The following is a 14,836-nucleotide window of genomic DNA, read 5'->3' as shown; positions in this document are numbered from 1 at the left end:
ATAGAAGGATTTTATTTAATAATTATTTAGCATGATTTGTAACTTTTAAATATTCAGACATTTGAATGTGAGCCTCCATTCATTAGGTATCTATAAATGCTAAGAGTGAATTTGTGTAACACACATACTGTCCATTTGTGGACTTTCCCCTAATATGACAGCTTCCTCATTCCTTTTCTCCACAGAATTTAGATAAATGTCTCTGCAACATGGATTTCATTCTTTACTTCTCTCTGCGGATGTTCTGATTTGCTTATATTTGGGGTTTAGAGTTGGGGGTTTGTGTAACAAGAAGGTAGCAGAGTTGACACATAGACTATAAAGAATCAAGCTCACAGGATTATTTCATCTGCATCTTTCCCAATAGAGCATATAGCAGTTAGTAGCAATTCAAAAAATGCTTTTGGGATAAGTGAAAAATAATAGCTACCATTAATGGAACATTTATGATATGTCAGAGGTAATGCTTACTACTTTCTATAGGTTATCTTATTTAATATTGAACTGAAACACTTTTAGTTAAATACCATTATTACCACCTTCTAAAGAGGAGAAAACAAGCTCAGAGAGTAACTAGCTCAAGGTGAGAAAGTCAGTGATTGACAGTTTGGAGTTAAACTGAGTATGACTTGATAATGAATGCAGATGATTATAATGTTGTTTTATTCCCAAGGAAATAATAATTTAAAAAATAGATATGATTTTCCTTAAATTCAAGTTCATCCTAGAAACCTAGCTCAAACAGTTGTTGTATGTGTCATATCATATGCTTTGCACATCTTGTTTTGATGCTTTCTTAGGCAGGTGAGACTTGAACAGCTAAATACAATAATATAAGTATGTTTAAACTCAAATTTTGTTTCAAATCATTAGAAAATAGATGATATTCTATTTACTAATGTTAGGATAAGAGTGAAAAGAAAGCAGGATACACATTGGCATCATCTCCTTTTTGCAATCAATATATTAACACATTTTTATTGAGTTATATCAGTTATCATTATTTATCATGCTTTTGATTGAAGATGCCAGATAGGATATTGTCATGGTAATTCTAATAATTCAATTCGTTATTGTATGTTTATGTCAAAAGTCCCATTGAGATTTGGAATGCTGGTGACACAAATGCAATAAAAAGAAACCCCTTTATTCATTTATATTCAGTAAAACAATATTAGGTGATACATTCCCTCTTCCTTATGGTTAGCAATTTGAATCTCATGATCCTCTATTAAATTTATTATTTGTTGGGACATAATTTGCAAAGATTTCATCTTTAATATTAGTGTTTCTGTTTTAGCTTTCGTTATAAATTATGTGTTCACATTCACACGGTGAGAATATATTCTTGTGGAAATTATCATGGTAAATGGGCACAAAACTATCAAATTGAAAAGAAGCTGGAAAAATGTGCAGGAGATGATTGCATTTATTGATACTGGAGCTTGAGTCCTGTGGGGGTGTCAGTGCCTGCTGGACTCTAAGAATCAGGAAGAGATCATTGTGTGCTTACTTGCCTTCATACTTGCTCTGTGACATATTCAGCAGAAGCAGCAACAACATGTGGCAAATGTCTCAACGAGATATAGGATTTGGCCTCTCATTAGAATGGAACTAAAGCCATCCTCAGAAGGTTAGCAAGAATTTTGGACAGAAATATATTTATAACCATGCATTAATAAGGCTGCACTTTTGTCACAGGATCCTTAGGGTTTTGCTTTTCCAGCCAGAAACTTCTGTGGCCAGTGGTGCCTTTGCCCGAGTTCTGCTTGGGCCTGCTGGGGTTATTCTGCCCACTTGGCCCAGCAGGCTGCACTCCACTCATGCTGCTGGCCTAGATCCCATGCCTGCTGAGGGCAATCCAGGTGCTGAGTGGCAAGGGTTGTGTAAGCGAGCAAGCATGAGGTCTAGCCACTGCACACTGCCAGGCACACCAGCTGCTGTGGTGGGGCAGGCAGCTCCAGGTGCTGGCACAGGTTCCAGCTCTGTGTAAGGCTGTGGCTGGATCAGAGGTACCAAAAGCAGCTTCCACTGCAGGCACCTGTGTGTGGACAAGGAGAATGCAGTGGCGCTCAGAAGCTTGGAAACACAAGGAACTGCAGAGCCCCAGAGAGGGTGTCACAGCCCTGGCTCAGGGAGCCCCTAGATCTTTTATCCTTCTTGTTGCCTGCAATGTGATGAGCAGGGGGGTATGTTTCAGCCCTGTTTGTGTTACAGCTCTTTCAGTCCCACCATTTGGTACATCCTGAGTACTTGTCCCACATCCATAAAGAATGAGGTACATGGACAACTGGAGGGTGAGCAAGGTGGAGAGGAGTTTTCTCGAGTGACAGAACAGCTCTCAGAAGACCTGAAGTGCATAGCTTGTTTCTGCAGGCAAGACCCAAAGTGGATAGCTTGTTTCCACAGGCAGGTCGTCCTGAGAATGTCCAGCTCTAAATGGAGAGGAGAGCTGTAGTGGGTAACTCTGTGGGTAACTCTTTTCCACAGGCAAGTCCTCCCAACAAGTCAAAGATACCCTAAGTTGGTAGTTCCTTCCCATAGCTGGTAGTCTCAACATCTCTGTGAGTCTGGCTGAGTCTGGGGTTTTTATGGGCTCACAAGGGAGGAAGTGCATGCTGATTGGTCCATGGGCAACCAAGGGCAGGCTGGAAAAAGCACCATGAGCTCTGACTCCAGGTCATGGACTCCACCTGGAATTGGTAGCCTGGACCCCAGGCTTCAGGACATCCCTGGCTTGAAGGTAGGGTTTCACCAGGGACCCCCTCCTTTCTGCCTGGGAACCTATCTGCCTTCTGCCATCAACATGCCATCCACAGCCACAGGCTGTTCCTGCCACCACCCAGCCTCCTTCCTGCCCTCATCAGGGCCCAAAGTCCAGAGAGGACCAAGGTGGCAGGGGACTGGCATGTCAGCACTGCTCCAAGTGCATGCACATCTGACTGGGTCACAACAGAGCCTGAGCTCAGCCACAACTTTGCTCTGCACTGGAGTGGGTGCCAGGAACAGGGAGAGGCCAGACACAGGAGCAGGATCTTCCAAGCCTATGGATGTAGGGGCTTCCTGGGCCCCCAAGAGTGCAGCAATGCCTGGGTCCAGAGCCATTTCTGGGTGGCTGCAGCTGTGCCAGGGAACATGGGGCTCCCAACCTGCCAACTCATTAGGGTGCAGGGCTCTCATCTCTGCCCAGCTCCTGCTGGCTATCCAGAGCATGCAGCCCCAGCAGTTCCTCCCCTGCTGCAGCCGGCATCCCCACAGTGGTCATTGCAGATGGGCTGTCACTGCTATCACTTTGACCCACATTCTTGTAAGGGAAAGTTACTTAACACTAGATATTGACCATATGCATTTCCATTGTTCCTATACCTAGGGCTTCTGACATTAGAATCTTAAAACTTGTTTAAGAATTGCTTAAGCAGATTTTGAATTCCAGCAGAACATCTGATACCAACCAGTTTAAGGACCCCCAGAGAGGAACCAAATCATCCTGAGAATACAATTTCTTCATCTTCCTGTCCCATGACTTCACCCTGCACTCTTCCACCAGTCAACGATTGCCACACCCACACTTAGACTCATTCCAAAACCCTTAAAAACTCTAGCCCAAAACTCCTTGAAAAGGCAGATTTGAGGTTTCCTCACATCTCTTCTTTGGTAGCTTTACAATTAAACCCCTTTCTCTACTGAAACCCAGTGTCTCAGCATACTGACTTGACATGAACACTGGGCAACAGAAGTGTTATGGTTACAGAACCATGAAATAAACCTACTGCCAAAAGAGATAAGATGAGATTTCTAACTATTAGTGAGCCTTAGTATTTAAGCATCATGATTCAACCTTAAATAAGGCTCTTTTAGCTTTCATGTCAAGCCTAGATGGTAGGCAAGAGCCAAGGGCAGGTGTTCTAAATTCTACATAAAGGTTTGAAGCCACATTTGCCTACTATGGGACACCAAATTCCTTACCCTTCCTATAATATAAAGGACACATATAAGGGAGAGTTAATATGTGTCCTGATCTAATGTTTACTATAAGATAACATTCTTTATTTTAATGATGTTTTGCTTCTTAGAAAATATTGACTCTTTGATTCAGGTATGTGGAAAGACTACAGAGATTGGGTGCAACTAAGAAACTGTCAACTTGTACCTACTTCCATGTGAAAAGTCTGGCTTTGTTGTTTAGTATATCTTGCCCTTGTTCTTTGCCCTTAATCCAATTATATTGATATTATAGATATAACTGGACATGAAGCTAAGTGGAAGGCTCCCTATTTCCCCTTGTGAGCCCCAAAGATTTGAGGCAGGTCTCAGTTAATTTAGAAAGTTTATTTTGCCAAGGTTGAGGACCCTCACCTGTGACACAGCCTCAGGGAGTCCTGACAACATGTGCCCAAGGTGGTCGGGGCACAGTCTGGGTTTATATATTTTAGGAAGACAGAAGACAACAATATATGTAAGAAGTACATTGGCTTGGTCTGGAAAGGCAGGACAACTTGAAGCAAAGGCGGGAAGACTCCAATCTGGGAGAGGCCTTCCAGGTCACAGATAGGTGAGAGACAAAGGCTGCATTCTTTGGGTTTCTGATTAGTCTTTCCAAAGGAGACAACTAGATATGCATTTATCTTAGTGAGCAGAGAGATAACTGAATAGAATGGGAGACAGGTTTGCCCTAAGCAGTTTCCACCTTGAGTTTTTCTTTCAGTTTAGTCATTTTGGGGGCCCAAGATATTTTCCTTTCATGCCCTACAGAGAACATGGCTCTGTTTGAAGCATCTTACAGTGTAGCACATATTCACATTTAAATATTTGGAGCTACTTATACGAGAAAATTCCAGCTTAGACCAATCATTAGACTCAACATTTTTAAAGTAATAAGACCTATAGTACATCTGGAAGAAACATGAAGACTCACATAAGGTCTGGGTTTTAACACTTGTGAGACAAGTGAATAGCTGTGTAGTCTTGGCCATACCTTGAAACTTCACTAAGTATCAATTTCTTTCTGTTAAACAATGATTCATTCGCGGCAGATCTTTTAAAATTGTCTTTAGGATTATATGAAATAAAACATTAAAAATGGTTTTTTACACTTTTTTTGGTAGCTTGGAGGTAGCCAAATAGAGCCTGTTAAATGAAATCTAAAGCAGAAGTACTTAAAATGAACAAAAGCAGGAGATTGTGCCAAAATAAAAATTTAACATTCCTTAAAATGTTTATTTTTCATCATGAAATTTTAAATACAAGCTGCATTTCTACAATGCTCAATTTACCAACCACTTTAGGAGATTCTGTTTAACTGGAAGAAGTTTGACAAATTTGGTGGCCTTGTGGTATATGGATATTTTAACAAAAAGATCAACAGATCATCCAGGTACCTTTGACTCTAGAGGGATATAACACTTTTAGGTGGAAACCTACAATATACTTGGACATCTGCATAATGACTAAAATTAGCATAGGTTTACATAGTACACAACTTCATTAGAATTTTGATGCCTTGGAAAGGAACAGAAGGTTTGTAAATTTCCTAAGGGAAAGTCTCTCGAGAGCGTGAAGGCCTTAAACAAAATCAGCCCAATGTGAGAGGCATGTTGTGAATGGCTGAAAGGACATAAATAGAGTTCATCAAGCAATAAATGTATTGCCTTTTTCAAAAAAAAAAAAAAAGTGACCCACTTCTGTAATACAAGCACTCTTACCATACTAGGGACACAAATATCAGGTGGCCTCTCTGTTCTGCTTGTTGAGAAGTGATGCAGAATAAGCCTGCTCACTCAGTATATATGGCCATATATTTTTCATATAAACACTTGTGTGAAAAAGAGGAGGAAATTAGGGAAAAAAGGAGAAAACAAGAATGGGAGAATAGGGAAGGTAGAGTAGAAAAGAAGGATTAGAGATGAGTGGACAAAAAAAAAAAGAAAAACAGTACGGAATCTGCTTTATTTTTATAGTTAGCAGTCATAAGGATGTGGGTCTAAAAGATTCTGGACTATAAACTGCTAAGAGGTAGTTTACTCCATGATATGGTTTGGCTCTGTGTCCCTACCAAAATCTCTTATTGAATTGTAATTCCCAATGTTGGGGGAGGGACCTGGTAGAAGGTGATTTGATCATGGGTGTGGATTTTCCCCTTTCTGTTCTCATGACAGTGAGTGAGTTCTCATGAAATCTGATGGTTTAAAAGTGTATGACGATTTCCTCTTCGCTCTATCTCTTCCTCCTTCTGCCATGTAAGACTTGCCTAGCTTCCCCTCCACCTTCCACAATGATGGTAAGTTTCCTGAGGTCTCCCAAGCCATGCAGAACTGTGAGTCAATTAAACATCCTTTGTCTTTTCCAGTTTCAGATAAGTCTTTATAGCAGTGTGAGAATAGACTAATACACTCTGCCAGAGATTTTGAGATCTGCCAAATTTTCAGCCACACTCTTCACGTGGGAATAATAAGAAATGATTCTTTTCCTCCTGTTGTGCCAGTGGTGGGATCTTCTACCTGAATTTGTGAGCAAAGTGCAAAGCTGTCCAGGACAGTGGGTTTCTGTAGAGGTCTTCAAACTTCAGAGGCAACAGTACAATATAGCAAAGTGGTTTGCAAAACTTTTACCACCAAGATCTCTTCTAGTATTTTCCTTCTGTTATGTGAACCCAATATTATTTTTCCTACTGAACAGAGCCCATAGACTTAATAATAGCATGTTTGCCATATTTTTATTTATTAACCAGATAAATTATTCCCTTGTTCTTCCAGGTTGATATTAAACACATGGTTACCTCCTTGAGTTTACTTCAATCAGCCACAATGGCACTTGATCATTCAAATAGCCTTTGTGTTATTATGAATGATGACAGTCACTGCCTTTTTGAAATATTGAAATCAACACATGGTATTACTTAAGTATGAGATTAATACACATGCAAAATTATATTAAAGTAGATGTGAAAATGAATTCAGATAAATCTTCAGATCAGCTAAATGAATAAATAACTAGGTAAATGAAGTTGAAAAGGGACCCTATATTAGTGTGTTCTCACAATGTTATGAAGAAGTACCTGAGACTGGTTAATTTATAAAGAAAAGAGGTTTAATTGACTCACATTTCTGCATGGCTGGGGAGGCCTCAGGAAACTTACAATCATAGTGAAATGAACCTCTTCACAGGGCAGCAGGAGAGAGAATGAGTGACAACAGTGGAAATGCCAGACACTTAAAAAACCATCAGATCTTGTGAGAACTCACTCACCCTCAAGAGAATGGCATGGGGGAAACCACCACCATGATTCAATTATCTCCACCTGGTCCTGTCTTTGACACGTGGGTATTATGGGGATTATAATTCAAGGTGAGATTTGGGTGGGAACACAGAGCCAAACAATATCACTCCCTCCTGACCCCTCCAAAATCTCATGGCCTCAACTTAAGAAACAATAATGCCCTTCCAACAGTCCCCCAAAGTCTTAATTCGGTATTAACCCAAAAGTCAAAGTTCAAAGTCTCATCTGAGACAAAGCAAGTCCCTTCTGCCTATGATCCTGTAAAATCAAAAGCAAGTTAATCACTTCCTAGATACAATGGGAGTCCAGGCATTGAGTAAATACACCCATTCAAAATGGGAGAAATTGGCCAAAACAAAGGGGCTGTAGGTCCCATGCAAGTCCAAAATCCAACAGGGCAGGAATTAAACCTTAAACTTCCAAAATGAGCTCCTTTGACTCAATTTCTCACATTCAGGGCACACTGATGCAAGAAGTGAGCTCTCATGGCCTTGGGCAGCTCTGCACCTGTGGCTTTGCAGGGAATAGCAGCCCTCCCAGCCTCTTTCATGGGCTAGGATTGAGTGTCTGTGGCTTTTCCCAGCACACAGTGCAAAATGTCAGTGGATCTACCATTCTGGGGTCTGGAGGATGGTGGCCCTCTTCTCACAGCTCCACTAGGCAGTACACCAGCGGGGACTCTGTGTGGGAGTTCCAATCCCACATTTCCCATCCACACTGCCCTAGCAGTGGTTCTCTATGAGGGCTATGCCCCTCAGCAAACTTGTCTCTGGACATGCAGGCATTTCCATACATCCTCTGAAATTTAGGTGGAGGTTCCCCAACCTCAATTCTTCTGTGCACCCTCAGGATCAATACCACAGGAAAGCTGACAAGTCTTGGGGCCTGCATCCTTTGAAGCAATGGCCTGAGCTGTACCTTGGCCCAATTTAAAAATGTTCAGCTGGAATGCAGGACACCAAGTCCCAGGGCTGCAAAAAACAGCAAGGTCCTGGGCCCTGGCCCATGAAACCAGTTTTTTCTTCTAGGCTTCTTGGCCTGTGATGGGTGGGGCTGCCATGAAGACCTCTGACATGCCCTGGAGATATTTTCCCCATTTTCTTGGTGATTAGTATTTGGCTCCTCATTACTTATGCAAATTTCTGTGGTGAGCTTGAATTTCTCCTCAGAAAATGAGGTTTTCTTTTCTATCGCATCATCAGGCTGCAAATTTTCCAAACTTTTATGTTCTGCTTTCTTTTTAAACATAAGTTTCAATTCCAAACCATATCTTTGTGAATGCATAAAACTGAATAGCTTCTAAGAGAACCCAAGTTACCTCTTGAATGCTTTGTTGCTTAGAAATTTCTTCTGCCAGATACCCTAAATCATCTCTCTCAAGTTCAAAGTTCCACAGATCTCCAGGGCTGGGACAAAATGCCATCAGTCTATTTGCTAAAGCATAGCAAGAGTGACCTTTACCACAGTTCCCAACAAGTTCCTCATCTCCATTTGAGACCACCTCAACCTGGTCTTCATTGTCCATATCACTATCAGAATTTTGGTCAAAGTCATTCAACAAGTGTCTAGGAAGTTCCAAACTTTCCCACACTTTTCTGTCTTATTCTAAGCCCTCCAAACTGTTCCAACTTCTGCCTGTTACCCAATTCCAAAGTCACTTCCATATTTTCAGGTATCTTTATATCAGCACCGAACTCCTGGTACCAACTAACTATATTAGTACATTCTCAGCCTGCTATGAAGAACTGCCTGAGGCTGAGTAATTTATTTATAACAGAAGTTTAATTGACTCACAGTTCTTCTTAGATGGGAAAGCCTCATGACACTTACAATCATGGCAGAAGGCACCGCTTCACAGGGTGGCTGGAGAGAGAATGAGATGCTTATAAAACCATCAAATCTCATGAGAATTTACTCACTAGCATGAGAACAGCAGGGGGAAACTGTCCCCATGATTCAATTACCTCCACCTGGTCCCACTCTTGACATGTGGGGATTATGGGGATTATAATCAAGGTGATTTGGGCAGAGACACAGAGTCAAACCATATCAGAGCCCTTGGGGCCTCCTGAAAATCTTAAAAGAAGTTTAAGAATTTTTTTCTCTCTTTTCTCACTGATTCTGATATGTGGTCCATTCTCCTTCCTCACTGTCTCAGATAAGTAGAAAGATGCAGTAGAAGGTAGAAGCAATTGTTGGAGCATCCAGCCCTGCTCCTAGCTGGACGTGAGATTTTAGGGAGCTACTCTGTATCCCATGAACTCTTGTTTTCCATCTATTAAATGAAGACATTGGGTTGTGTGATCCTGCTATCTCTTCCTATTCTTTAGTGCTGTTACATTTTTTAAACACTACTTTCTCTGAGCCTCATTTTTCTTGTCTATAGAAATGGGAAGAATGTCTACCTCATAAGGTGACTTGAAGAATTAGAAGATAATAATCAAGTATCTCTTCCTATACAAGTCTATTTCCTTCCTGAATTTAGTTAGCAAGAGTTCACAGAGCAAGTTGAGATAAAGAGTATAACACTGTTTGAATCTATTTGAGTTCAATATTTTATATAGCAAGTGAATTTGGGGTAGTAAGTATTCATTAAATGTTTTTAGATCCTAGATATCTATGAAAAGCAGCTTACATGCAAGGCAACCCTCACTAAAGATTTATTCTTGTTTCCTTGACCCTGAGGCTTAAGACAACCTTGTTCAGCTTGCAGCCGTGGCATCTAGCATAGTACCTAACAGTCAGGAGGTGCACGGTGGATGTTTGTGGCTTTCAGGAAAGTAATGAGACCCTGCTAAGCCTTTTCTGTAAAATATTCAATAATATCTATCCCCAATTGAGTTTTTGTAAAGAATGGTCAAAAGATCAAATTCAAAAAAGTTAAAATCACAACTCTCATACAGATACAAAATGAACAGACATTAAAGACTTTTCATAGCTCATTTATCAATGACAGAACCACAGTATTATAGCCACTTCAAAGGAAAATCCAAAATAAAGACACGCATAAATAAGAAATATTGAAATGGATACATAAATGCAAGCAAAACTAGCTTCTTCCACAGTGGAGAAGGAAGTCAAATGAACCACACTATTGAACAGAAAAAAATTGCCTACAGAGGAAAATGATTTTGCATTTCTAGCAGTTATTTACAATTTGCAGAGTTGTAAATTCTGTAGATTTCTTCCATGGAATCACCTTCTGATAAGCAGAAGGGTGTGCTAAACGTATAGTTTTCCATTGATGCACTAATTTTTCCCTAGTGAATAAATTAGACAATGCATGGAAATCGCTTAACTGGTACCTAGCTTATAGAGGATCTCCAATAGATGGATACTTTATTAAATTTTAAAAGTGGCATATGACAGTGGTAGATTAAGTGTCTTCTAGTATTTCATAAATTGAACAAGAATTGGACAATCACTTATTCTACTTTCCAACCTTGGTATTCATTCTCCCATGTAATTCAGGACTTTTTTCTGTCTCTTTCTCTCTCTCTCTCCTCTCCCCCACCCCCATCTCTTTTTAATTAGTTCTACTATGTTTTCTTACTATGTACCAGGAAGGATCAGCAAATTGATGAACGTGTTAAGACACTTCCCTCTAGACTTACACATTATCCTAAATATTCCTCTAATAAAACAGAATGACACTGATCAAAACTAAGTCTGAGAAAAAATTTACAAAGACTTTATTCATAAACTTGTGGCAAGGGGATACCTCTGCTATATCTTTCATTTAAGCAAAGTTTCCAAAGTGTTAGGAAGAGGAGTAAATTTTAGGGTGTAAAATGCAAAAATAGTCAGACTTACCTGACTGGCAAATGTTCTATTAAGATGGGATTTTGGAAACTAGAGAGGCTTTCTAAATGGTACATTTTACAAGTATTTGTTGGCTACAAGGGGGCACTTGTGCAGTTTAGGGATGTTTCAAATGAGAGAAGTTTAATGTGAGAGGCAGAGGGTTTTCTGTGGCTGGCTATTTTTGGGAACAAGAGGGCATTAATGGGTGGTTTGTCATGTCATAATGATTCTTATGGGCTGGCCAAAGAGAACTACCATGGCTGAGAGTTTCTTAATAAAAACAAGTTAATATAAGAGAGTGTTAAATTAAATAAGTAATATAGTTCAGATGCACAGGAAGTTATTTTTGTTAAACTTAGTTAAAAGAGTACTGTGAATTCTAAATAGATGTGCAATTTCAGGCCAAAACAAGTGTAATGGAGAAAAAAATTATGTGATGTCAAATAACAAAATTTCAACAATTTGGGTTTGACAATCTAATTGACTTTTATTAATTATTCATGAATTGGGCAGCATCTCATCTATAAAAATAGGAATGCATTTCATTGGATATAGCAGAACATTCAGTTTTTGAAAGGTAGCTTGAGCAGAAACAAGGAAACAGCATATACATAAAAGAAGATTGGTTACTGTCAGGTTACTTTCCTTGTTAGGAAAGTAAAGACAGTTATCATGCTGGGTCAGGATGACTGGCCCTTTTTCAGATGGTTTATGTGAATCTCTTGTTATTTTGGAAAAAAGAAAAAGGACTGTTTGGAAATTTTCCTGTTTTTTAAAGTATCACTTCGTCTTCATGACACTTAACATGAGTGGCTCCATTTTGCTTTGGTCTACTGGGGCCTATTGCAGGAGTTTAGTCCAAAACAACAGCCTTCTACAAATTTTATTTAATACTCGTTAAGGTGTTTCATCATAATTAGGATATACTGTGACAGGAAATTCATTATCTATTTTTTTTGGAATTCTTCATTAGCCTAGTGCCAAAATAACTCTTTTCATTTGTCTTAGGCCAGATTTAACACAAAAAATATTTTGACATTAATTATTTAAACAAAACAAAGCAATAATCAATGGTCTTCCCCATCATCTGACTAAAACAAGAGAATATGGTATTCAGTTTAAATGGACTTATTATCTAACTTCCCCTATTTATAAGTCTTTGCTTTACAATTTGTTGTGGGAAGTCAGGGACCCTGAATGGAGGGACTGGCTGGAGCTGTGGCAGAGGAACATAAATTGTGAAGATTTCATTTTAATATGGACATATATCAGTTCCCAAATAATACTTTTATAATTTCTTACTCCTGTCTTTACTTCAATCTCTGAACATAAATTGTGAAGATTTCATTTTAATATTGACATTTATCAGTTCCCAAAATTAATACTTTTATAATTTTTTATGCCTGTCTTTACTTTACTCTCTTAATCCTGTTATCTTCATAAACTGAGAATGTATGTCACCTCAGGACCACTACTGTGTTAACTGTACAAATTGATTGTAAAACATGTGTGTTTCAACAATATGAAATCAGTGTACCTTGAAAAAGAACAGAATGACAGTGATTTTCAGGGAACAAGGGGAGACAACCATATGGTCTGACTGCCTGCGGGGTCGGGCAGAATAGAGCCATATTTTTCTTCTTGCAGAGAGCCTATACATGGATGTGCAAGTAGGGAAGATATTGCTAAATTCTTTTCCTAGCAAGGAATATTAATAATTAAGACCCTGGGAAAGGAATGCATTCTTGGGGGGAGGTCTATAAACGGCCGCTCTGGGAGTGTCTGTCTTATGTGGTTGAGATAAGGACTACTGAAATACGCCCTGGTCTCCTGCAGTACCCTCAGGCTTACTAGGATTGGGAAATTCCAGCCTGGTAAATTTTTGGTCAGACCAGTTCTCTGCTCTTGAACCCTGTCTTCTGTTGTTTAAGATGTTTATCAAGACAATACATGCACAGCTGAACACAGACCTTTATCAGTAGTTTTGTTTTGCCTTTTGTCCTGTTTCCTCAGAAACATGTGATCTTTGTTCTCCTTTTTGCCCTTTGAAGCCTGTGATCTTTGTGACCTACTTCCCTTTTGTACACCCCTCCCCTTTTGAAACCCTTAATTAAAACCTGCTGGTTTTGTGACTCAGGTGGGCATCACGGTGCTACCGATATGTGAGGTCACCCCCGGAGGCCCAGGTGTGAAATTCCTCTCTTTGTACTCTTTCTCTTTATTTCTCAGCTGGCTGACACTTATGGGAAATAGAAAGAACCTACGCTGAAATATTGGGAGTGGGTTCTCCCGATTACAATTTGAAAAATGAGGCTAACAAAAGCATCTGCTAGACAGTGTGGATAGCAAGATCTTAAGAAATATTACTGTGCTGACTGAATAAAATAATACATGTAAAAGCAATTCACATAGCCCAGGCCCATGGTAACATCTCAGATGTTAAATTCCTTTCCACCTTCTTACCTCATGAAGTAACAAGCAAATTTTAATTAAAACTATTATATTGAGTCTCTAATCAATAAACTTTTATTTAGCCTTTACCAGTCACCTGGAGATCTACTACTAGGTGTAACTGTATTTACAAAATGACCATAACATTTGATATAGTTTTTAAAAGAGAAAATATTTTTCCCATTACTTTCTATCATACAAAAAATAAAAATGGTCAATGTGTGTGTGTGTTTTTTAATTTTTTTTTAGTGTGAGCTCTAGGTGTTAAAATCTACCAGCATTTATTGACCATTAAATAATCCTAATTATATCTTTTTCTTCTATTTTATGTAGGAGTTACTGGAAAAGCAAGAATAACTTATGCGGATTAACAATATGGAAACATCCTGAGACTACTTTGGAATCGCCATAAATTAAGTGGGTTCCAGTTTTGCAAACAGAGAAACGGGTCCATGAACAATTTGCTACAGGTAAGTGAGAGGTATAATTTTTTCCATTAGAATCCTTCAAAGATTCATTGACTATGGGGTTGTTAATTACATTTCAGATCATTATAATTCTCCTTTGGTACAGCTGACAGCTTCTTTTCCCTCCCGAATGTACACATGTGGATGCCAGCATATGGCTAAATGTCTGGCCATTTCATCTTGTTCATTTGGGCTTCAGTCAGTTACAAAAGGAGAAAGCAGGGGGAAAAAGTTGCCACCTCATAAAACTTTTACCAGTAGTGATTTATGCAGAAGGGTAGGGGTCAAACTGTTTCTCAAACAGATGTTTCTGAGCGCTACCCCAGGAGTTGAAAGAGTGGCAGATTGTCCTTCTTGGGATTCAGAATGAAACAGGCAGGCAAATGGTGATGCCCCAGCTCCTTTTCTTTGAAACTGGGGCAGTGGTTCAATCATTAATATGGAACAAAGTGTTTGGGAATGGTAGCTGGCTTTCGATTCTCTCTTTGAAAACCTGGGGAGATCGGAAAGCTTTATGTGGTGACAGCATGAAAATATTTTCTGTTGGGCTATTGGAAAAGTTGTACTTGTCTGAATGAACCAGTGGGGAAGAATGAAAGTCTAAGTGACTCAAAACAAGTGGCAGTTTGTAAGCTGGAGGATTGGGTTGTGGCATCCTCTGTAGTTAATAATTGTTATACCATCAAGAGTCAAGGGGACTCACACCTAGAAATAGAAGCCATCAGCTCTGCAAAACTGAAACAATCTCTTTTTTCATTTGTGGGGTTTCACTGTGTTAAGGAAAAAAAAAGATCAAATTATAGTGACATTAAGCACCATTGTAGAGGAGAAGTTTGTA

General features: G+C 39.5%; 1 protein-coding gene across 18 annotated transcripts in view, besides 1 other annotated feature; it reads left to right on the top strand.

Annotated features, from left to right (window-relative positions):
- Positions 1-14,836, top strand: part of LRRC4C (leucine rich repeat containing 4C) — a 1,345,454-nt gene that overhangs the window by 797,510 nt on the left and 533,108 nt on the right. For all 18 annotated transcript variants that reach the window (XM_017018075.3, XM_017018073.3, XM_017018077.3 and 15 more), the window contains one exon: positions 13,865-14,001. The gene's annotated coding sequence lies outside the window, so the exon portion shown is untranslated. The remainder of the gene's footprint in view (positions 1-13,864; positions 14,002-14,836) is intronic.
- Positions 12,646-13,845: an enhancer, noted in NCBI's record as "CDK7 strongly-dependent group 2 enhancer chr11:40669848-40671047 (GRCh37/hg19 assembly coordinates)". NCBI's record gives its function as "activates an origin of replication core promoter dependent on BRD2, BRD4, P300/CBP, MED14 and CDK7 cofactors, with strong dependence on CDK7, by STARR-seq in HCT116 cells {active_cell/tissue: HCT116}" and the evidence as "EXISTENCE:reporter gene assay evidence [ECO:0000049][PMID:35650434]".

The sequence above is a fragment of the Homo sapiens genome, chromosome 11 (assembly GCF_000001405.40).
Source record: "Homo sapiens chromosome 11, GRCh38.p14 Primary Assembly".
Lineage (NCBI taxonomy): Eukaryota > Metazoa > Chordata > Mammalia > Primates > Hominidae > Homo > Homo sapiens.
Note: the sequence above shows the minus strand (reverse complement) of the source record. Positions and strands in the feature narration are given on the sequence as shown.